The sequence below is a fragment of the Homo sapiens genome, chromosome 18 (genome assembly GCF_000001405.40).
Source record: "Homo sapiens chromosome 18, GRCh38.p14 Primary Assembly".
NCBI classification, from domain to species: Eukaryota; Metazoa; Chordata; class Mammalia; order Primates; family Hominidae; genus Homo; species Homo sapiens.
In genome coordinates this window covers 35,619,981-35,645,410 of record NC_000018.10, presented here as the reverse complement: position 1 = coordinate 35,645,410, position 25,430 = coordinate 35,619,981, and the positions used below count along the sequence as shown (strand labels likewise).

The 25,430-nt window shown below is 39.1% G+C and overlaps 1 protein-coding gene across 13 annotated transcripts in view; it reads right to left on the bottom strand.

The window, feature by feature from the left end:
• The window catches only part of GALNT1 (polypeptide N-acetylgalactosaminyltransferase 1), a 130,913-nt gene that overhangs the window by 66,424 nt on the left and 39,059 nt on the right, over window positions 1–25,430 (bottom strand). The window contains exons 1-2 of one of the 13 annotated variants that reach the window (XM_047437465.1): window positions 17,927–17,980; window positions 11,361–11,457 (exon numbers count right to left, since the gene is read on the bottom strand). The exons of 10 other annotated variants lie outside the window; for them this stretch is intronic. The gene's annotated coding sequence lies outside the window, so the exon portion shown is untranslated. Of the gene's footprint in view, window positions 1–939; window positions 8,602–11,360; window positions 11,458–17,926; window positions 17,981–25,430 lie in introns of those variants that run through there. 2 more of the 13 variants (NM_001384445.1, XM_047437467.1) reach the window with 2 other exon arrangements.

The window sequence follows — 25,430 nt, the reverse complement described above, 5'->3', positions numbered from 1 at the left end:
ATACAAAAAATTAGCCGGGCATGGTGGCGGGCGCCTGTAGTCTCAGCTACTTGGGAAGGAGGCTGAGGCAGGAGAATGGTGTGACCTGGGAGGCAGAACTTGCAGTGAGCTGAGATTGCGCCACTGCACTCCAGCCTGGGCAACAGAGCGAGACTCCATCTCCCAGAAAAAAAAAAAAAAAAAAAAAAAAAACATTCAAAATAGCTATGAAAACCCAACAGGTGCAAGAGGTGAAGAAAACTGTGGAGCTTTATTGAAGGATACAAAAGAATAACTAACTAATGAATAGATGAGAAAATGAATACAAGGTTATTCCCAAAATTAATCTATAAATTCAATATAATTCTTATCAAAACCCAAATGAGGCTTTGGGGAATGGATTTATTTATTTATTTATTCATTTACTTATTTATTTATTTTGAGACAGAGTCTTGCTCTGTCACCCAGGCCGGAGTGCAGTGGTGTGATCCTGGCTCACTGCAACCTTTGCCACCTGGGTTCAAGCAATTATCCTGCCTTAGCCTCCCAAGTAGCTGGGTCTACAGGTGCATGCCACCATGCCTAGCTAATTTTTGTATTTTTAGTAGAGAAGAGGTTTCATCATGTTGACCAGGCTGGTCTCAAACGCGTCACCTGAAGTGATACGCCCGCCTCAGCCTCCCAAAGTGCTGGGATTACTGGTGTGAGTCACCACGCCTGGCCTGGACTGAATTATAAAGCAGACGTACTTAAAACCATATGGTAACCCAAAACAAATCCATACAAGTGTGAAAAACTAAAAAGATGCTACTACAAAGAAAATTGGTGCAGGGACAAGTGGCTTTCCATATAATTAAAAAATAAACTTGGATCCTACCTTATAGCAATATAAAAGTGAATATGTAGAAAGATAACTGAAGCCAAAATTGTCAAAACCAAGTAGCAGCTATTCTGGCTTACCCCTAGTAGCCAAAGTGAGTACGGCTCCAGTCTCGTAGGCTTCAATTTATATTCCCAGCTTCCTATAAAGTGTTCAGGCCAATACTTCTGCCACAGTTTTTGAGCTGTCAAGTGGTTACTGATCGAAATTTAGCACTGAGAAGCCTTATTCGATAGCCAAAGAAAAAGGAGAACCAATTTTCAGGTCTTGGAATCTTCTTATTCAACATAAGTATTTAACAAAAAATTAGCAAATAATCAATCCAAAATTCCTGCCCAGATTGATGTCCACATTCCATTAAAACCTGGATATTCTCTTTCTGTAGTTATTTCCCGGGTGTTATCTCAAGTTTAGAGGTCAGAAGAACAAGCTTATCATTTGGGGTAGTCATGATGTAAATAAACTCCTATAAAATTTATTGGCTCGAATGTTTCAAATTAGAGAATACAGTGTTTAGTGTCTTGAGTGGAATGTCAGTTTTTAAGATGACAAACTGACTTCCACCAATACCTTTAAAAGTTTATATTTTTCCTGTTTGTAAAGTAATGTATGTTCAAAACAAAGAACCTGGCAAACAGAAAAGCAAAAGATACAAACTCCCTACAAATTTGCATCCCAATGAAACACCAATGGGTTAAATGCCCTTCCAGTCATTCAGAATAGTAGATATGTGTTTTTTTTTCTTTTTTTTTTTTTGAGTCAGTCTCACTCTGTTGCCCAGGCTGGAGTGTAGTGGCACGATCTCGGCTCACTGCAAGCTCCACCTCCCCGGTTCACGCCATTCTCCTGCCTCAGCCTCCCGAGTAGCTGGGACTACAGGTGCCTGCCATCAGCCTCCCGAGTAGCTGGGACTACAGGTGCCTGCCACCACGCCCTGCTCATTTTTTGAATTTGTAGAGATGGGGTTTCACTGTGGTAGCCAGGATGGTCTCGATCTCCTGACCTCGTGATCTGCCTGCCTCGGCCTCCCAAAGTGTTGGGATTACAGGCGTGAGCCACCGTGCCCAGCCAGATATGTGTTATGTTTTAAACCAAGTTTGTAACATCTATTTAGACTCAAGTACTTAATGCCTTAAATGTCCTTATGGGAAGAAGGGAAGGAGACAGGTGTGACTATAAAGTGGTAGGAGAGCTGATCATGCTGTATTTTTATTTTTAACAGGTAATAATATGCTCAACAGACATTTCTAACCCCTCTTCCCACCTCGGCCATGTCTCAGTGCCATGTCTTAGGCAACATCTTAGCGTTAACATCAAAACAGCCCTGATATCCACACAAAGGTGTGACAAAATGCCACACATATTGCTTTACAATTAATACATATGTAACCATTACAAACAGAAGTGGCTGCCGGGCTCATGATTCTGACCCTTAACCTCTCCTCCCCTCCTCAAAAGGTTTCTTCTGGTAACAGATCCAGTTGCCTGGCCACAGTATGACCTAGCCAGGCTGACCACAGGACCTGACTCCTTGGCCTGAGTCACAGACCTGGAAGGCTGTGCTCTAGGACTGCGCTCAGTCACACTGCCCCCGACATGGAGAAGGCCACTTGCAGCCAAAAACAATGTGGCCAAGCAGAGACATACAGATGAGTGGCAGAGCACCCTGACAGTGACCAAGTCCCTGACTCTTCCTTGGCTTCAGTGACCCAACGAGGAATCCTATTAGTCCCCTTTTCTGCTTAAGAAAATCTGAATTGGGTTCCTGACACAACCAGAATGCTTGGGGAACCAGGGAAGAGGGGGCAATAGGTAAAAAGCAGCTTCTAGTCTGCTGATGAGCTTCCACTCTGTGGGTCATAATTATATATTATGAGACAGACTATACTATTTGAAAAGATACTTTTTAATGCCCCAGATCACAAAAACTTATAAAATATCAAAAGAGTACGTATAAAACATGTCACGGAAATAAATGATCACAACACAACACACATCTCCACCACCTGGTTTAACAATAAGAACATGATTTTTAAAGTTCCCTCTCAAATCCCATCTCTTCCCCAACTCTTCAAAGGCAATCCCTATTCTTACGGTCCTTCCTTGTCCTGATAATTTAACCTCACGAGTATCTTTAACAATGCCTTATTTATACTTGACTGTTTCTGAAGTGCTTATAAGTGGAAAAACCTGACTTGCTTTTTTCTAACACTGTTTCTGAGATTTATCCATATGCTTGGATCCATCCATGCATCCAATTCCATTTCACTACTGAATAGTATTCCGCTGGCTTAGCAAACCTATTTCTCTACTCTTAACAGACATTTGGGTTCTTTCTAGGTTTCCGTTATTACAAGCAATACTGCTATGACCATTCCTGAACATGTCTACTAGTACGCATGTGCAAGAGTATTTATTTAGAGAAGAGGTCAGTAAATATTTTCTGCAAAGGGCCAGATGATAAAGATTTCAGGCTTTTTGAGTCATGCAATGTCTGTTGCAACAACTTAACTCTAGTGTTGTACCATGAAAGCATCTGTAAGAGGTACATAAATGAATGTGACAATATTCCAAGCTTATTTTTGGACACCAAAATTTGAATTTCATATAATTTTCACACTATAAATTACAAAATATTATTTTTTTTAAGCACTTAAAAATGTTAAAAACCATTCTTAACTCATGAGTCATCACACCGACCCCTGATCTAAAGTATATACGTATGGTTGTTAGGTGGCACAGTATGCATATTTTCAATATGATCAGATATCACCAATTTGTTTTCCCAGGTGGCTGAAACCACCCACCAGATGTGAACTGTTATATCACTGCACGTGGTGGATGTGTTATATCGTTGACAACACTTATTACTGTCAGACATTTTTATTTTTGACAATCTGATGTAATTGGTATCTTAATATAGTTTTAATTTGCATTTCCCCACCATCTCTGGCATTACTGATCATTCCATTTCCTCTTCTCTAATATGCCTACTGAAGTTCTGCTCTACTAGATGTGTTGTTTTGTGTTTTTCTTGTTAGTCTGTGAAGATCCTAATGTAGCCTTGTGTGAGTTAAATGTACTGCAGTATCTTTTCCCAGCGTTTTGGAGACAGGGTCTCCCTCTGTTGCCCAGGTTGGAATGCAGTGGCACAATCATGGCTCACTGAAGCCTCAACCTCCTGGGCTCAATGAATCCTTCCCACTTCAGCCTCCGAGCTAGGACTACAGGCACACGCCATCATGCCCGCCTAATTTTTGTATTTTTTTTGCAAAGAGAGGGTTTCACCATATTGGCCAGGCTGGTCTCATACTCCTGGGCTCAGGCAATCCTCCCACCTCAGCCTCCCAAAGTGCTGGGATTACAGGTATGAGCCACCATCCCAAGCCCTTTTCCCAATGTTCTTAATAAAAAAGAAGTATCTTTGTCTGGGTATGGTGGCTAATGCCTATAGTCCCAATACTTTGGGAAGCCAAGGTGGGAGGATTGCTTGAGGCCAGAAGTTCAAGACCAACTTAGGCAACATAGCAAGACCCCCATCTCTAAAACAAAAAAAGTAGCATCTTTTACGGTTCATATTTTCTATGTTTTAAGAAAATCTTCTCTATCTAGAAATCATTATAATGTTTTAATATCTAAAAATGTTAAAGGTTTGCTTTTCCCATTTAAGCAGGGATTCAATGTCATTCCCTCCTATGTGGATAACCAGCTGTCCAAGAACTATTTATGGAAAGCTCTCTCTAAAGGAGTGTAATACCAACTTTGTCACAAGCCAAGTTTCTGGGTTTCCATATTCTCTTCTATTGATCTATCTCTCCCTATACCATACTGTTGTCTTAACTTTTACAGCTTTATACTAATTCTTCATATATGGTAAAACAAGTCTTCTCACCTATCACAACTTCTTTAGAGGAGTGTCTTGGCTACTCCTGACCTGTTAAGTCTTCCTCAAAAATTTTAGAATCAACTTTTTAACCCAAAAATAAAAGTTGTCATGATTCTGACTAGATTGAAATAAATCTATAAATAACTGGAGAGATCTGCTATCTTTCCAAAAGCATCTTTAAATCTATAAAAATATTCTCTCTCCATTTATTTAGACCTTTCCTAACATCTTCCAATAAAATTTTATAATTTTCTTTTAAAGGTTTAACACAATTTTGTTAGAAAATACTTGTTACTTTAATTTTTTCCTACCTGAAATGGTATTTTATTGCTGATTTACAAAAATGCACCTGTATTTTTATTTGTTGATTTTAAATTCAGCTACCTTGCGAAGATTTCTAGTATTAATAACATATTGAAAAAGGAAGGTAACAACAGGCATCCTTGTTTTATTCCTGATCTTAAAGGGTAGGTTTTAATAAGGCAAAAAAAGAATGTAGTAGCTATGATTGATCATTTAATTACTTAAAATAATATTCCAAATACTGCAAAAGAAATCTAGTAGTTAAGGCTGGACATGGTGGCTCACACCTGTAATCCTAGCACTTTGGGAGGCCAAGGTGGGGGGATCACCTGAGGTCAGGAGTTTTGAGACCAGCCTGGCCAACATGGTGAAACCCTGTCTCTACTTAAAATACAAAAATTAGCCGGCTGTGGTGGCAGGCACCTGTAATCCCAGCTACTCGGGAGGCTGAGGCAGGAGAATTGCTTGAACCCGGGAGGTGGAGGTTGCAGTGAGCTGAGATCGCACCACTGCACTCCACCCTGGGGGACAAAAGTGAGACTTCGTCTGACAAAAGAAAAAAGAAATCTAGTAGTTAAAAGTATTTAAATATTTATGGTGGAACAATTCTACAAATCAAACAAGCATAAAGATCACAAAAAATAAGTTAATGTTAATGGGAAAAAAAGCCAAACTCAAGAGAAGTCTAAAATAAAATTCCAAAAATGTTTCTCAAAATGATATCATTACTAAAATAAATGCATAGCACCTAACTTTTATGTCTACTATATTGTTGTTCTTTAAAAAAATGAAGTTTCGCTACAGGCATACCTCAGAGATACTGCAGGTGTGGTTCCTGACTACCAAAATAAAGCAAATATTCAGTAAAATGAGTCATAAATATTTTGGATTCCCAGTACAAATAAAAGTTATGTTGATACTATACAGCAGTGTGTACGCAACAGCATTGTCTTTAAAAGTAATGTATATACCTTAATTTAAAAATTTTACTGCTAAAAAATTCTACCAATCATCTTTGCCTTCAGCGAATCGTAATTTTTTTGCTGGTGGAGGGTCTTGCCTTAGTGTTGATGGCTGCTGATCGTTCAGGGTGGTGGCTGCTGGAGTGGCTGTCGCAATTTCTTAAAATAAGACAAAAATGAAGTTTGCCACATCAACTCTTCCTTTCATGAAAGATTTCTCTACAGCATGCAATGCTGTTTGATGGCATCTTACCCAGAGTAGAACTTTTTTCGAAATTGAAGCCAATCCTCTCAAACCCCTTGCCACTGCTTTATCAACTAGGTTTATGGATTATTCTAAATTTTTTGTTGTCATTTCAACTGTGTTCATAGCATCCTCACAAGGAGCAGAGTCTGTCTCAAGAAACTATTTTCTTTCCCCATCCATAAGAAGTAACTACTCATCCATTCAAGTTTTATCTTAAGATTGCAGCAATTCAGCCATATCTTCAGGCTCCACTTCTAATTCTAGTTCTCTTGCTATTGCTACCACATCTGCAGTTGAACTCAGCTTCTTCCAAACTCCTGTCAATGTTTTGACCTCCTCCCATGAATCAGAAATGTTCTTAATGGCATCTAGAATGGTGAAACTCTGTTACTTTGCTCAGATCCACCAAAGGAATCACTGTCTATGGGAGCTATGTGTAGGAGATTGGTCACTGTGGTGGGAAAAATTGTAGAAAGATGCAAACCTTCTTGGAAGGCCGGGAGATTTTACAAAAGCTTCAGAAAAGGATTTGGCTGAAGGCAGCCAGATTCTCTCACCCTGTGCCTGAACGCTTAGGTTAGATAACAAGGAGATGTAAAGAAACTGATCTAGATAACTTAGTTTACTTAGTAGAACCTGGCCTTTAATCATCTGAGTGCAGGACTGCTGGGGCTGTGTGTGTGTGTGGGGTGGGGAAGGGGGGAAGCACCATGTTAATTACCCAAAAGTGTGTTGACTCAAGGCCTTTGTCATTAAATCTGTATAAATAAATGCCTGCAGCACCAGCTTGTCAGGGCCACAGCTGCTACAACTCTTTACAACACCCTCCTTGGGGTACATGAGCAGCCGAGTCTCCTAGCCCACTCTCACTGGATACCTGTGTCTGAGTGCATCCGTTCATCCATCGCTTGGTCGGGGTCTGTGGGTCAGACCCAGCAACTATGGCCTTATGAAATGTATTTCTTAAATAAGACTTGACAGTCAAAATTACTCTTTGATTCATGGGCTGCAGAATAAATGTTGCATTTGCAGGCATGAAAACATTATTCTCATCACACACCTCCATCACAGCTCTTGGGTAACCAGGTGCATTCTCAATGAAAAGTAATATTTTGAAAGGAATCTTTTTTATTAAGCAGCAAGTCTCAACAGTGGAATTAAATTATTCAATAAACCATGTTGTAAACAGATATGCTGTCATCCAGCCTTTGTTGTTCCATGTATAGAGCAGAGGCAGAATAGATTTAGTGTAATTCTTAAGGGTCCTAGAATTTTCAGAATGGTAACTGAACATTGGCTTCAACTTAAAGTTACTAGCTGCACTATCACCTACTAACAAAGTCAGTCTGTTCTTTGACGCTTTAAAGTCAGGCACTGACTTCTCTCTACCTATGAAAGTCTTAGATGGCATCTTCTTCCAATAGAAGGCTGTTTTGTCTGCATTGCAAATCTGTTTTTTAGTGTAGCCACCTTCATCAACGGTCTTAGCTAGATCCTCTGGATAACTTGCTGCAGCTTCTACAACAACACTTGTTTTTACATTGTGGAGATGGCTTGTTTCCTTAAACCTCCTGAACCAATCTCTGCTAGCTTCAAACTTTTCTTCTGCAGCTTCCTCACCTCTCTCAGCCTTCATAGCATTGACGAGTTAGGGCCCTGCTCTTGATTAGGCTGGACTTAAGGGAACGTTGTGGTTGGTTTGATCTATGCAGACTACTAAAACTGTCTTGTCAGCAATAAAGCTGTTCTGCTTTCTTATCATTTGTGTGTTCACTGGAGTAGCTTCCTTCAAGAACTCTTCCTTGCCATTCAGAACTTTTCAAGTTATATGGCGCAAGAAGCCCAGCTTTTGGCCCATCTCTGCTTTCGACATGCCTTCCTCACTAAGCGTTATCTTTTCTAGCTTTTAAGTGAGAGACACATGACTCTTCCTTTCACTTGAATGCTTAGAGGCCACTGTAGGGTTATTAATTTGCATCCTTTCAATACTGTTGCTTAGCAGAGTGTGGTGGTGTATGTGTTGTATCTTGGGGAACAGGGATACCCGAGGAGAGGGAGAGAGACAGGGAAACGGCTGGTCGGCGGAGCAGTCAGAAAAGACATTTATTGATTAAACTTGCCGTCTTGTATGGGCACAAGTTTGTGGTACCTCAAAATGATTACAATAATAACAACAAAGATCACTAATCAAAAATCACCACAACAGATATAATAATGAAAACCTCTGAAATACTCTAAGAATTACCAAAATGTGACATAAAGACACAAAGTGAGCAGATGCTGTTGGAAAAATGGTGCCTATGGACTTTTTCAGTGTAGGGTTGCCACAAACTTTCCATTTGTTGAAAAAAAAAAAAAAAAAAAAAAAAACAAAGTAGTATCTGTGAAGTACAATAAAACAAAGTACAATAACATGGACATGCCTGTATTTTTGAGTCACAACTCATTTCATGCTCTCTGGATATTTATTTTGTCCAATGATGTTCTTGATACTGTGTCAGGTACTGTAGGTGGTACAAGCATGAATGTAACGACCCACATCTAATCACACTGTTAAACACCAATCTAAGAGACATGCCATTCACATTCCAAAGAGAAATATCAATTAAGGAAACCTGACAGGCAAAGAAACATCAAGATAGGGAAGTTTCTGAACAGGTTTTATGAGAAAGCAGCATATGATACAAGGTTTTGTTTGTTTAAAGTAAGTTTTTTCTACAGTTGTTTTGTTTCTGTCTCTCTTTGACCTAAAACCCTCTAATGGCCTTTCCCTGTCCTTAAGACAGTCTTTCCCTCTGGTCCATTTTGTTCTAAAGAACACTGTTATTGCAGGACCAATAACTGAGACAGTCTTCACTAAAGACATTCCAGAGTCAAGTAAGTCGAGGAAACAGTCTATACTCTATTTGTCCTGGTAGATTCACATTGCATATTATCCTACTAAAGGGTCTGTAAAGTTCTGCAATAAGGAAAAATATGGGAATCTATTTAACTATGTTAACTCAGAATGTCCCATTTTTAAGCAGGGGACTGTCACCATCCACTTTGTTGTTTCTGTATAACATAAAGCAGGTTTCAACTAGCAATAAATAAAGCGGCAAAGATTGATTCCATATCCTGGAATCAGACATTCTTTTTTAAAAAAAACTATGGCTGATGTGCTTTCTGCAAAACTGGTATTTCCACAATTCTGCAAATTCTGTAAAAAAGGATCCCATTGTGTTATAAAGCCAATCACAAGGAAGACCTTCACAAAGTGAAGGTTAATTTTGAAATAACTGTCTTTAAGTTAATATTTTTGTATTACTCTTTAACATAACACATATCATTATATAATACAAATAGCTGTGGACAAAAATAGGAAATCCAAAAGTCACCCTAAAAGAAAAGAATCTATAAATCCCTAATTAAAAAAAAAATCTACAAACTTCTCAGAGAAACAAAATTGGTCAGCTATTTTACCATCAATTATTGTTTCTACATTTAGAATATCATACTCTAAAGAGTATATCTAGCATTAAATATTGCATTCAACAAATCCAACAGTATTTCAACTGTATGAATCGAGTTAACACAGCAGGTCCGTTTTACTTAGGTTGTGCTAATCTCTAGGGGATTCCTGGAGTCACGGCAATGACCCTAGCCAAACTCTGAGAACTATGTTCCTGGATTGTTAACAGTCACTTGTTAATGATCTTTTTGTGTATGCTCCAGGCAGTGAGTCAGGATGTACCAGGCTGTCAGCATTGTTTTAAAGTAATCATTAAGATTTATTATGTGTACCTGGTGTCTGGTGTGGGGTCCCCAGTTTCAGTTACCAGAGCTGGTCATATGGTAGGAATGTGCTTATGTGACTAGCTCCCTGTAAGAACTCTGGACTGTAACACTTGTGTGCTTCTCTGGCTAGAGACATCTTGCATGTGTCTCTATCACTCACTGCTGGAGAGAAAAGCATGTCCCTGTGATTCTCACTGAGATAGGACCTGGAAGCCTATGCCTACCCACTCTACCATTTACCTTCTTCCTGCATTGTATCCTTTGCTGTAATAAACTTGAGCCATGAGTACAGCTTTATGTTGTGTGCATCCTTCCAGAAAATCAGCGGCAACTGGGACCTCTCCACCCTCCACAAAACAGATTCCATTAAATAATTTAGTTTGCCATAATATGTACTTTTCTCATTACTTGTCAAAAGCTGAATGATAATAATCACAACTGCTTCAAATGAATAAATCAGTGTACAGGAAAAAAGTTAACAGGCCTAAGATTGCTATCCTTAGAAGGACTTGGTTGTCGAGATTGGCCCTTGGCTGGCATGTGGAAACTTTAATGGTGAACAGTTCCCTACATTGATATAAAACTTTTCCTAAATGATAAGCGTGATTCACTGTGCCTAAACTTTACAAACAACATTGTATTGTTTGTATAAACATCTGCTTTCCTTCCGGGAATCTGGAATTTTGGTATGTGTTAGGCAGGAGATGCCTACATGACCAGACTCAATAAAAATCTCGGGCACTGACTCTCTAATGAGGTTCCCTAGTACACAACATTTCACACATGTTGTCACGATTCATTGCTGGAAGAATTATGTACATCCTGTGTGACTCCATAGGGAGAGGACTCTTGGAAGCTTGTGTCTGTTTGCCTCTGAACTTCACCCCGTGCACCTTTTTCCTGTGCTGTAATAAATCCTGGCTGTTAGTACAACTGATGCTGGATCATGTGAGTCCTTCTAGCCAATCACTGAACCTACGGGTGGGTCTTGGGAACCCCCACACAATCAGCATATTAAGACAGAAATCAGTGTCTATTAAGCCAAATGCTGAAATTCAAATGAGTTCAAATTTCAGTTGCAGCAACACTTATGAGTTATGTGACCCCTAGCAATGTTACTGTATTTGCAAAAACCTGAGCCTCTTTGTTCCTTTAAATGAGAAAAACATATTTTCCTTATAGCCCCATTGCACTAAACTAAATGAGAAAATGAACAACACACTCATACATGACAGTAAACACTTGGTAAATTTTAAATGGTATTATTTCTAGAGGCACCTTCTCAGATTAAATAAACAATGGAGAGCCTTTCTCATGTATACTTACACAACAAGAACTCAAATGGTCATTTGGAACACTGCAAAGCAAAGCTCACAGACAAACTTTCATCCTGTATCTTCAGCAATGGCTCTGGGAATGATTTCTAGATCACATGACAGGATTACTGGGTTAAGTTCAAGCAGGTTAAATCCTATATAACAAGTATCTTTCAATTTCTGAAACTGGTCCTTATTTAGCCTTCAGATTGACCTCCCTAATCAGAAGTGAGTGTACTAATTAATTAGTATTGGGACTATGCTTTATTGTTACATTTCTCAAATTACTAAACTGGGATTTTAGTACAAGCCATTCTCTTGCTTGTATATGAGGCATAAAGTCCAATCAACATAATTTTTTTTATTATAATACTTTTAGGTTCGAGGGTACACATGCACAATGTGCAGGTTTGTTACATATGTATACACATGCCATGTTGGTGTGCTGCACCTATTAACTCATCACTTATATTAGGTGTATCTCCTAATTGCTATCCCTCCCCCCTCCCCCATCCCACAACAGACCCCAGTGTGTGATGTCCCCCTTCCTGTGTCCAAGTGTTCTCATTGTTCAGTTCCCACCTATGAGTGAGAACATGGGGTGTTTGGTTTTTTGTCCTTGTGATAGTTTGCTGAGAATGATGGTTTCCAGCTTCATCCATGTCCCTACAAAGGACATGAACTCATCCATTTTTATGGTTGCACAGTATTCCATGGTGTATATGTGCCACATTTTCTTAATCCAGTCTATCATTGTTGGACATGTGGGTTGGTTCCAGGTCTTTGCTATTGTGAATAGTGCCACAATAAACATATGTGTGCATGTGTCTTTATAGTAGCATGATTGATAATCCTTTGGGTATATAACAAGTAATGGGATGGCTGGGTCAAATGGTACTTCTAGTTCTAGATCCCTGAGGAATTGCCACACTGTCTTCCACAATGGTTGAACCAGTTTACAGTCCCACCAGCAGTGTAAAAGTGTTCCTATTTCTCCACAACCTCTCCAGCACGTGTTGTTTCCTGACTTTTTAATGATCACCATTCTAACTGGTGTGAGATGTTATCTCATTGTGGTTTTGATTTGCATTTCTCTGATGGCCAGTGATGAGCATTTTTTCATGTGTCTTTTGGCTGCATAAATGTCTTCTTTTGAGAAGTGTCTGTTCATATCCTTCGCCCACTTGTTGATGGGTTTGTTTTTTTCTTGTAAATTTGTTTGAGTTCTTTGTAGATTCTGGATATTAGCCCTTTGTCAGATGGGTAGATTGCAAAAATTTTCTCCCATTCTGTAGGTTGCCTGTTCACTCTGATGGTAGTTTCTTTTGCTGTGCAGAAGCTCTTTAGTTTAATGAGATCCCATTTGTCAATTTTGTCTTTTGTTGCCATTGCTTTTGGTGTTTTAGACATGAAGTCCTTGCCCATGCCTATGTCCTGAATGGTATTGCCTTGGTTTTCTTCTAGGGTTTTTCTGGTTTTAGGTCTGACATTTAAGTCTTTAATCCATCTTGAATTAAGTTTTGTATAAGGTATAAGGAAGGGATCCAGTTTCAGCTTTCTACATATGGCTAGCCAGTTTTCCCAGCACCATTGGTTAAATAGGGAATCCTTTCCCCATTTCTTGTTTTTGTCAGGTTTGTCAAAGATCAGATAGTTGTAGATGTGTGGTATTATTTCTGAGGGCTCTGTTCTGTTCCATTGGTCTATATCTCTGTTTTGGTACCAGTACCATGCTGTTTTGGTTACTGTAGCCTTGTAGTATAGTTTGAAGTCAGGTAGCATGATGCCTCCAGCTTTGTTCTTTTGGCTTAGGATTGACTTGACAATGTGGGCTCTTTTTTGGCTCCATATGAACTTTAAAGTAGTTTTTTCCAATTCTGTGAAGAAAGTCATTGGTAGCTTGATGGGGATGGCATTGAATCTCTAAATTACTTTGGGCAGTATGGCCATTTTCACAATATTGCTTCTTCCTATCCATGAGCATGGAATGTTCTTCCATTTGTTTGTATCCTCTTTTATTTCATTGAGCACTGGTTTGTAGTTCTCCTTGAAGAGGTCCTTCACATCCCTTGTAAGTTGGATTCCTAGGTATTTTATTCTCTTTGAAGCAATTGTGAATGGGAGTTCACTCATGATTTGGCTGTCTGTTATTGGTGTATAAGAATGCTTGTGATTTTTGCACATTGATTTTGTATACTGAGACTTTGCTGAAGTTGCCTATGAGCTTAAGGAGATTTTGGGCTGAGACGATGGGGTTTTCTAGATATACAATCATGTCATCTGCAAACAGGGACAATTTGACTTCCTCTTTTCCTAATTGAATACCCTTTATTTCTTTCTCCTGCCTGATTGCCCTGGCCAGAACTTCCAACACTATGTTGAAAAGGAGTGGTGAGAGAGGGCATCCCTGTCTTGTGCCAGTTTTCAAAGGGAATGCTTCCAGTTTTTGCCCATTCAGTATGATATTGGCTGTGGGTTTGTCATAGATAGCTCTTATTATTTTGAGATATGTCCCATGAATACCTAATTTATTCAGAGTTTTTAGCATGAAAGGCTGTTGAATTTTGTCGAAGGCCTTTTCTGCATCTATTGAGATAATCATGTGGCTTTTCTCGTTGGTTCTGTTTATATGCTGGATTACATTTATTGATTTGCGTATGTTGAACCAGCCTTGCATCCCAGGGATGAAGCCCACTTGATCATGGTGGATAAGCTTTTTGATGTGCTGCTGGATTCGGTTTGCCAGTATTTTATTGAGGATTTTTGCATCAATGTTCATCAGGGATATTGGTCTAAAATTCTCTTTTTTTAAAGTTGTGTCTCTGCCAGGCTTTGGTATCAGGATGATGCTGGCCTCATAAAATGAGTTAGGGAGGATTCCCTCTTTTTCTATTGATTGGAATAGTTTCATAAGGAATGGTACCAGCTCCTCCTTGTACCTCTGGTAGAATGTGGCTGTGAATCTGCCGGTTCTGGACTTTTTTTGGGTGGTAAGCTATTAATTACTGCCTCAATTTCAGAGCCTGTTATTGATCTATTCAGAGATTCAACTTCTTCCTGGTTTAGTCTTGGGAGAGTGTATGTGTCGAGGAATTTATCCATTTCTTCTAGATTTTCTAGTTTATTTGTGTAGAGGTGTTTATAGTATTCTCTGATGGTAGTTTGTATTTCTGTGGGATCAGTGGTGATATCCCCTTCATCATTTTTTATTGCGTCTATTTGATTCTTCTCTCTTTTCTTCTTTATTAGTCTTGCTAGCGGTCTATCAATTTTGTTGATCTTTTCAAAAAACCAGCTCCTGGATTCATTGATTTTTTGAAGGGTTTTTTGTGTCTCTATCTCCTTTAGTTCTGCTCTGATCTTAGTTATTTCTTGCCTCCTGCTAGCTTTTGAATGTGTTTGCTCTTGCTTCTCTAGTTCTTTTAATTGTGATGTTACGGTGTCAATTTTGGATCTTTCCTGCTTTCTCTTGTGGGCATTTAGTGCTATAAATTTCCCTCTACACACTGCTTTAAATGTGTCCCAGAGATTCTGGTATGTTGTGTCTTTGTTCTTGCTGGTTTCAAAGAACATCTTTATTTCTGCCTTCATTTCATTATGTACCCAGTAGTCATTCAGAAGCAGATTGTTCAGTTTCCATGTAGTTTGGTGGTTTTGAGTGAGTTTCTTAATCCTGAGTTCTAGTTTGGTTGCACTGTGGTCTGAGAGACAGTTTGTTGTAATTTCTGTTCTTTTACATTTGCTGAGGAGTGCTTTACTTCCAACTATGTGATCAATTTTGGAGTAACTGCGGTGTGGTGCTGAGAAGAATGTATATTCTGTTGATTTGGGGTGGAGAGTTTTGTAGATGTCTATTAGGTCCACTTGGTGCAGAGCTGAGTTCAATTCCTGGATATCCTTGTTAACTTTCTGTCTCATTGATCTGTCTAATGTTGACAGTGGGGTGTTAAAGTCTCCCATTATTATTGCGTGGGAGTCTAAGTCTCTTTGTAGGTCTCTAAGGACTTGCTTTATGAATCTGGCTGCTCCTGTATTGGGTGCATATATATTTAAGATAGCTCTTCTTGTTGAATTGATCCCTTTACCATTATGTAATGGCCTTCTTTGTCTCTTTTGATCTTTGTTGGTTTAAAGTCTGACTTATCAGAAACTAGGATTGCAACCCCTGCCTTTTTTTGTTTTCCATTTGCTTGGTGGATCTTCCTCCATCCCTGTATTTTGAGCCCATGTGTGTCTCTGCACGAGATGGGTTTCCTGAATACAACACACTGATGGGTCTTGACTCTTTATCCAATTTGCCAGTCTGTGTCTTTTAATTTAGCCCATTTACATTTAAGGTTAATATTGTTATGTGTGAATTTGATCCTGTCATTATGATGTCAGCTGGCTATTTTGCTAGTTAGTTGATGCAGTTTCTTCCTGGCATTGATGGTCTTTACAATTTGGCATGTTTTTGCAGTGGCTGGTACCGGTTCTTCCTTTCCATGTTTAGTGTTTCCTTTAGGAGCTCTCGTAGGGCAGGCCTGGTGGTGACAAAATCTCTCAGCATTTGCTTGTCTGTAAAGTATTTTATTTCTCCTTCACTGTGAAGCTTAGTTTGGCTGGATATGAAATTCTGGGTTGAAAATTCTTTTCTTTAAGAATGTTGAATATTGGCCCCCACTCTCTTCTGGCTTGTAGAGTTTCTGCTGAGAGATCAGCTGTTAGTCTGATGGGATTCCCTTTGTGGGTAACCCGACCTTTCTCTCTGGCTGCCCTTAATATTTTTTCCTTCATTTTGACTTTGGTGAATCTGACAATTATGTGTCTTGGAGTTGCTCTTCTGGAGGAGTATCTTTGTGGCGTTCTCTGTATTTCCTGAATCTGAATGTTGGCCTGCCTTGCTTGGTTGGGGAAGTTCTCCTGGATAATATCCTGCAGAGTGTTTTCCAACTTGGTTCCATTCTCCCCATCACTTTCAGGTACACCAATCAGATGTAGATTTGGTCTTTTCACATAGTCCCATATTTCTTGGAGGCTTTGTTCATTTCTTTTTATTCTTTTTTCTCCAAACTTCTCTTCTCACTTCATTTCATTCATTTGATCTTCCATCACTGATACCCTTTCTTCCAGTTGATCGAATCAGCTACTGAAGCTTGCGCATTCGTCATGTAGTTCTCGTGCTGTGGTTTTCAGCTCCATCAGGTCCTTTAAGGACTTCTCTGCATTGGTTATTCTAGTTAGCCATTCGTCTAATCTTTTTTCAAGGTTTTTAACTTCTTTGCGTTGGGTTCGAACTTCCTCCTTTAGCTCGGAGAAGTTTGATCGTCTGCAGCCTTCTTCACTCAACTCGTCAAAGTCATTCTCTGTCCAGCTTTGTTCCGTTGCTGGTGAGGAGCTGTGTTCCCTTGGAGGAGGAGAGGTGCTCTGATTTTGAGAATTTTCATTTTTTCTGCTCTGTTTTTTCCCCATATTTGTGGTTTTATCTACCTTTGGTCTTTGATGATGGTGATGTACAGATGGGGTTCTGGTGTGGTTGTCCTTTCTGTTTGTTAGTTTTCCTTCTAACAGTCAGGACCCTCAGCTGCAGGTCTCTTGGAGTTTGCTGGAGGTCCACTCCAGACCCTGTTTGCCTGGGTATCAGCAGCGGAGGCTGCAGAACAGCGAATACTGGTCAACAGCAAATGTTGCTGCCTGATTGTTCCTCTGGAAGTTTCAGCTCAGAGGGGTACCCGGCCGTGTGAAGTGTCAGTCTGCCCCTACTGGGGGGTGCCTCCCAGTTAGGCTACTTGGGGTTCAGGGACCCACTTGAGGAGGCAGTCTGTCCATTCTCAGATCTCAAACTCCATGCTGGGAGAAACACTACTCTCTTCCAAGCTGTCAGACAGGGACATTTAAGTCCGCAGAGGTTTCTGCTGCCTTTTGTTCGGCTATGCCCTGCCCCCAGAGGTGGAGACTACAGAGGCAGCAGGCCTCCTTGAGCTGCGGTGGGTTCCACCCAGTTCGAGCTTCCCAGCCACTTTGTTTACCTACTCAAGCCTCAGCAATGGCGGGTGCCCCTCCCCCAGCCTCGCTGCCACATTGCAGTTCAATCTCAGACTGCTATGCTAGCAATGAGCGAGGCTCCGTGGGCGTAGGACCCTCCGAGCCAGGCACGGGATATAATCTCCTGGTGTGCCGTTTGCTAAGACCATCAGAAAAGCGCAGTATTAGGGTGGGAGTGACCCGATGTTCCAGGTGCCGTTTGTCCCTCCTTCCCTTGGCTAGGAAAGGGAATTCCCTGACCCCTTGTGCTTCCCGAGTGAGGTGATGCCTCGCCCTGCTTCAGCTCGGTGTGCTACACCCACTGTCCTGCACCCACTGTCCGACAATCCCCAGTGATATGAACCCGGTACCTCAGTTGGAAATGCAAAAATCACCCGTCTTCTGTGTCGCTCACACTGGGAGCTGTAGACTGGAGCTGCTCCTATTCGGCCATCTTGGAACCGCCCCCCCAATCAACATAATTTTTAAAACCTAAGAAGCTAGCTGTAAGATCAAACCCCAATGTAAGAGAAGTAGAGCCCTAAAGTCATTCACTCCCAACTATCAACTTACCCAAAGTGGTTTTTCAAATGAATTCATATCCCAAATCCACATGTCCCACATCTCCTGTTGAAAAATGAATGTCCTAAAATCAGTTTATTTTAGAATAACTCTATTCTCCCCCCTTAGTCAGCCACCCTGTTCCACTTAACTGTAGGCAGCTACCACCTGAGTGCCAGGATCATGCCTTATTCAGCTTCTTCCCCAATACTGAGCACAGTACGTGGCACAAAATGTGTTCCGTTAATGTCTATTACATGAATTAGTGAGTTAATAAACTATTACTGAGATCCAATGCCAAGCTCAGTGGAAATACAAAATTATCTCTCTCCCTCTTAGGAAACTGTGAGGATCTTAACTTTCCAGGTGGGAAGGCCAAAGACACCTACACAGCACTGTGGGAGACACTGTTTGTTCCTTATCCAACCTTGACATTTTTCATTGCATTTGACCTCCAACTGAATTCAAGTGACCATTCTCTGCTAGGCCACCTATTCCTGACTGGTCCAAGCCAACCACGGTCATTCTATTCCTCTAGCTAATAGAAGTGACCAAATCCTGACTAATGGTACTGAAAGGGAGGTCTGCTGGGAAGCATTCAGAAACAGTTATATCCCTCATAGAGATGTTGAAGGAGAAACTACACTTTTCAACCTTTGGCTATTGTTGGAGAGTACAGAAGTAGTGTATGCTTAGAAGTAATGTAACCATCTTGAGGCCATGGGGGAAGCCATCATCAACATGCCATCAATGACATGCTGAGGATAACAAATTGAAAACATGGAGAGCACGCAGGACCCTCATGATTTCATGGAGCCAGACCAACCCTAAGACCAGACCTCCCAATGTCTGAACTTCTTGTTATGCAAGATGATAAAGCCCTCACTGATTTAACTGGGTATTCTGCTACTACAGTGAAAAGCATCCTGATACACCAATCTGCAACCTATAATTATTGATTTATATAGGTATATATCCTGTCAAGAAAAAAATGAAGATACAAATCAGTGGAGGATCTAAATTAAGGACTCTACTTTTACAGGAGACTGCAAAAAAGCAGAACTTCAATATAAATTTTAAGAGCTACAAACTAGAACCTAGTATATGACCTGCTCATCTTAGACACGGCGTTACTTAGTCTATCACAGAATCACATATCCCTAATTCACTCAAACTTTCTCAAATATGTGCAAAACACTACACTAAGCAGTCTGATGCACACAAACATGAAAAATGTTCAGTCCCTATCCTCAACGAGCTTGCAATATAGAAGGAGAGACAACAAAGTGAGTTTGCATGTCATTTCACAGTTTAAGTCTTTGCAAAAGATGCCGAGAGTTGTGACGGGCTATAGCGCACAAAAAAGAGAAACTGGTGGGGAGAATGACTAGAGAATTGGTATGAGTTAGGAAAAGGCAAAACAATATCTCAAGTGGACAAAACAGTGTGAGTTAAAATAGGGAGGCAAGAAATTGCAGGGAATGTCTGGGGAACAGCAAACAGAAGAATTAATTGGGAGACAGGAGTAAAGGGGTGTGTTCAGAACAGAGGAAATCTTAACTATCATGCTAAAGAGTCTGAAAAGCAAAGGCCAGGTAAGTTACTAATTTCTTCTCATACTTTAATTTTTAATCACACGAAGATTAATGCCAGATCATTACAAGAGAACACTGCGTTGGAGTTTCAGCAAAATATGCATCTTTCTGCCCACTATGAACTCAGACACAGGAAAATACACCGCCTACCAGGGGAGCAGTTTCTGGGAAGTAAAGGATCCAGCAGGAACTTCCTCCAGGCCAGGGGCTCATGTTATTTTCTGGTCATGGAATCCCCCAAATCTCTAAGATTTTCTACATGTTTTTGCTACAACACCAACCTCTCCAATTATCATTCTATTTGTTCTTCCTTTACCATCTTCTGCACAAGAAGTCTTTTTCTCTATCCCTAAGGCAAGTCTTCACTTCAATGAAACCATCTGTTAATCAAGTAACTGTAATGTCCTACCTAGCAACACAAGTCTCTTTCTCAGCTTCATTCTACTTGATATCTTAGCCATCTTAAATTATTTTTAGAATAGGCAGGCTATAAATAAAGCCTCTTCTCTTGGCTCTCAGGGTCATTTCTTGTTCTCCTACTTTTCTGACCATGCTTTGAAGTCTTCTTTATTGGTTCCCTACTCTTCTCCGGATCTGTTCTCAAGACCCCTGACACTATACACATCCTCCCTGGGAATTTCAGCAGTGGCACAGCTTCACCCACCGTGTGCCAGTGGCTTCCATATATGTATCTTTTCCCCGGGACTCTTTGGTTAGATTGTAAACATCCCCAGCATGGGAATTATGTTTTTCATACTTGAGCCCTAAAGATGTTATGAAATGTCTGAAGAGAGCAGAAACTAATCTACAAGACAGCATCTCCACCCCCAATGTTATTCTTTATCTTTTCCTAATGCATTACTTTCCACTGTAGCACCAAGTAGTAATTTACATCATAATGTATCTTAATTAATTTATTAATTATCTTGTAAGCTCCAAAATGACAGGAACTTTATGTGGCTTAATGTTATTACTACATCATCTGGAACAGTACTTGGCACAAGGTAGAAGAGTTCAATAATTATTTAGTAAATAAATAAAAATGCCAGAAAACGTATCATGTGAGAAGGAAGAAAGACAATTGAAATTAAAGCATTTTAAGGTCATTGTGTTTAGGGATAGGGTAGAAAGATTAATTTTAGCTTTTTAAAGAGCAAATATGTTGAGAATTAAAAGGTAACAACTAATTAAATAAAAACAGAATGTGTAAGTTAAAAATCAAAGTTGAAAAAGGAGGAAATAGAAAATCAATCACTTTAAAATAAAATGAGAAAGGAATTTAAAATAATAGAGAAACCACACCTATAGACAGCACAAAATGGTAGAAATAAATCCCAATACATCAGTTATTAAAATTAAGACAAAATGACTAAATATATCTAAATTGTCAAACTGGATTTTTTTTAAAAAGTAAAAGCTAAATGCTATTTACGAGACATACACCAAAAACATAAGGATTCAGAAAAGCTGAAAGTGAAAGCATGAGACACTCACACACAGAAAAGTAGAGGAGCTTATTCTAGACTAATCTACTCACAAATAACAGCAGTTACCAGCCTACACTGTGCAGAGTTACTGAAACTCAAGAAGGAAGTCACAATCATATTGGCTTGAAGCATCAAAGGATGAGATTTGGAACTAGCAGGCAACTGGAAAGTGAGGCAGGAAATACTAGAAAAGTGAGAACCCTAAAATATCTATGTAAACTTCACCACCATCTTTAGTTGAACCTTGAATCATATAACACAGGACAGACTCCAAAGGCTCCAAAGAAAAGGAACATTTAGATAGCTGAAAGAACTGAACAGAGATATCAATGATGTTGCCCAATGCCAGGGAGGCAGAATTTGGAGTTTAAATCTAGCCAGCAAGGAATCAATATTCGTTAAGAGAAGAGAGAATTGAGGGTCAAAAAGCATATTATCCACAATATCCAGTATACAATAAAAAATTACGAGACATGAAAATAAACAGAAAAGTTGAGTCAAGAAAATAAGCAGTCAATGGATACTGAACAGAAGATGACCCAGACGTGGAAATCAGTTGGCAAGGACTATAACGTACCTACTATAAATATGTTCAAGAAATTAATAATAACTGAACAGAGGAAACTCTTATCAAACAAATTAAAACTTTAAAAAAGAACCACACAGAATCATGTAAAATACAAAAATATAAAGTCTGAAATGGGAAATTCACTTGATGGGATTACAGCAGATTATAGACAACAGAATACAGGGTTAGTCCATTTAAAGGGAGATCAAAAGAAATTATCCCATCTGAAAAGGAAAGAAAAATCTTTAATGAACAGAGCCTCAGTGAGCTGTGGTACAGCATAAAATTTAACATATGTGAAATCAGAGTTGCAAAAGGAGAGAACAGAGGAAACAGGATAAAAACAAAACATGAAAAAAACCCCTGAAAATGGCCACATTTGGGGAAGAACAAAATTGCAAATTTAAGTCCAGTGAAACCTAAGCAGATAAATACAAAGAAAACCACAACCACAGCACATCTTGTTTAAAACTGTTGAAAACCAAAGATAAAGAAAGACAAAATATTGAAAGCATCCACAGGGAAAAAAAAATGTATGTACAGGGGAAAAAAAAAGGATGACTTCTCATTACATGTAACAAAGACATTTTCAAGTAAAGAAATGTCAAAACAAATTAAGAAATGCTAAAGGAAGTTCTTCAGGTAAAAGGGAAATGACACCAGATGGAAACTCAGATCTGTCAGAAGGAATGAAGAACACCAGAAACGGTAAATATATGAATAAATATAAAAGCCTGATTTCTTCCCTCTTAATTTCTTAAAAGATGTATACCCAATTAAAACAAAAGTTATAACTCTGTGTTGTACAACTTATTAATATGAAGATGTGATAGATGACAAGATTAGAACAAAGAATGGAGGTGTGGGTAAGAGGAAACAACTTATATATTATATAAAATAGTAAAACTCAGCACTCCTTTAAGACACTTAAAACAAAGAACTCATGGAAAACTAGAAATAAGAATTTGGTTAACCTAACAAAAGATATCTGCCCTAAATCTACAGTTAAAAAAACAACTCACTTACTGTTAAAGTTGGGAAAAAGACAAAGATAAATGTCTTCTATTACTTCTTCCTGTCAACAATGTACTAGAGAACCTATCTAGCGCAGTACAACAAGAAGGAAAAAAAAAGAGATTTAGAATCAGAAAGAAGAAAACGAACAAAAAATAATAGAAAATCCAAGGAAATAAAGACAATTAGAACAAGAACTTTCAGCAAGGTTGCTGGATACAAGATGAACATACAAAATTCAGTTGACGTCTTCTGTACCAATAACAACCAGAAAATTGCTAAGCCAGGTGCTTTGGCTCATGCCTGTAATCCTAACACTTTGGAGGCTGAGGCAAAGAGTATTATTTGAATCCAGGAGTTCGAGACCAGCCTGAGCAACATAGGGAGACCCTGTCTCTACAAAAAATACAAAAGTTAGCCAGTCATGGTGGCATGTGCTTATAGTCCCAGCTACTTGGGAGGTTGAGGTGAGAAAATTGCTTGAGCCTGGGAAGTCGAAGCTGCAGTGAGCTGTGACTATGCCACTGCACTCCAGCCTCTGTGACAGAGTGAGACCCTGTCTCTTAATGAAAAATAATAATATTAAAAAAAGAAAAAGAAGAAAATTGCTTAGAAAGATCTACAAAAAAATTAAGGAATACTATCTTTATGTGTGGAAGGATTTCTATAGTAAAGAAAAAAATTATCTTTATATTAATCTGTGTACTTACTATAGTTCCAATCAAAATCTCAATATAGTTTTTAAATAGAACTTTAAAAGTAGATCCTAAAATTACATGGAAGAGCAAAGCTAAGAAAGCCATTACAATTTTAAACAACAAGGTCAGAGAACTCTGTCTACCATATATCAAGATATGGTAACTAATTTGGTGTCATACACAGGCAGACACACATGAAAAGACCAATGAAACAGAAGACAGCCCAGAATCAGACCCACATGAATATGCAAACTTCATATATGACAGAGATGGCACTATAAATCTGTGTGAAAGGGATGGGCTATTCAATAAATGTTCATTCATAAGTAAAAATAAAATTCCTACCTCATACCATACAAAAAAACATTAAAGGCTTAAAGGCATAAATCTCTAACACTCTAAACTATAGGCAACTATTGTCACGTCATTAGATCAGGAAGAATTGCTTAAGCAATATTCAAAAAGCACAAACCACAAAAGAATGAATAATTTCTACTACATAAAAATTAAAATTTTTGATATAACCAAAGACATCATAAGATATGCGAAAGTCCGGGAAGAAATATTCAGATACATACAGATAATGAACAAAAGATTAGTATCAGAATGTATTAAAAACTTCTACAAACCAAAACAAACAACAGACCAATTGCGGTGATTCATGTCTATAATCCTAGCATTGTAGGAGGCCAAGACAGGAGGATCACTTGAACCAGAAGTTCAAGACCAGCCTGGGCAACATAGGAAGACCGCATCTCTACAAAAAGCAAAAAGTAAAAAAAAAGAAAATTAGCCAGGTGTGTTGACACGCATCTGTAGTCCCAGCTACTTGGGAGGCTGAGGTGGGGGGATCACTTGGGCCTGGAAGCCTGAGGTTGCAGTGAGCTGTGATCCCACTACTGCACTCCAGCCTGGGCAACAGAACGAGACCTTGTCTCTAAAAAAAAAAATAAATAAAACAAACAACAAAAACACACACAATTGAAAAATGGCCAAAGATATGAACGGGCAAATCATAGACAAAGAATCATAAACATGGAACATATAAGACAACATAAAAATATGCTCAATCTCCGTAGTACTCAGGAAAATGAATCTGACCTCATCAAACTGGCAAAAACACAACTAGTAAGAAATAAGGAAATGGGACACTCACACACTGTTGTTCCAAGTGTAATTTGGCACGGCCACTTTGGAGAGCAATCTGGCAATAAGTATCTCATAAAGCTGAAGAAAGCACTACCCTATCACTCACTAATTTCACTTCTAGGTACAGTCCCTGGAGAAACTCTTACACATGAGTATAAAGAGACATGATTGCAGGATTGTTTATAATGACCAAAAAAAAAAAAAGTAACAACCTAAATGTACACATGAACTATACAATAGACTACTATATAGCAGGAAAAACGAATAAACTAGAATTATGTGCATCATTATCAGTAAACAATGATGAATGAGACAAAAGTGATTTACAGAATATGTACAATATGTTCCATTAATATACAGCTTTAAAACATATTAAAATAAAACAGACTGCTTATGGACACAAACACTGTAGAGAATAATATGCATGAGGATAATACACCAAATTCTTACTAGTGGTTGTTTCTGAGGAGGGAGGAAGGGAAGGGCTTCAACTATATCAGAAATTATTTTATATAAAAGATCTAAATTATGGCTGACTGCTAGTTGTTCATTCAATAGTTTCCTCTTCTTTTTTTACAAATCAAACTGCTGTATTACTAAAAGTGGCAATTTACATCTTCTGGCCTGCCTTGAAGATTAGGTTGGCCAATATCAGAAATCAGTGGGTGGGAATATGGGAAAGATTTTTAAAGGGACCAACTTCACAGAGAGAAGGGCCATTTTGCCCTCACCCCTCGATTCTGCTGCCTGAAAAACAAACACAACGGATGGAGCTGCAAGGACCTTCTTTGCAACCAGGAGATAACCCTGAGAAGGAAAGTCATAAGCTAAAGACTGCAACACAGAAAGATAGGAGCTGGGTCTTTGCTGACCACATAGCTGCCATATCCTGAGAGGAAAAAACCTCTATCTTGTTTAAAGCACCTTTTTGTGGGGGAAGAGGGAATACAGGGACCTTTGCGATGCTGCCAAACCTAATGCTAACAAACACAGAAGGAAATCGGT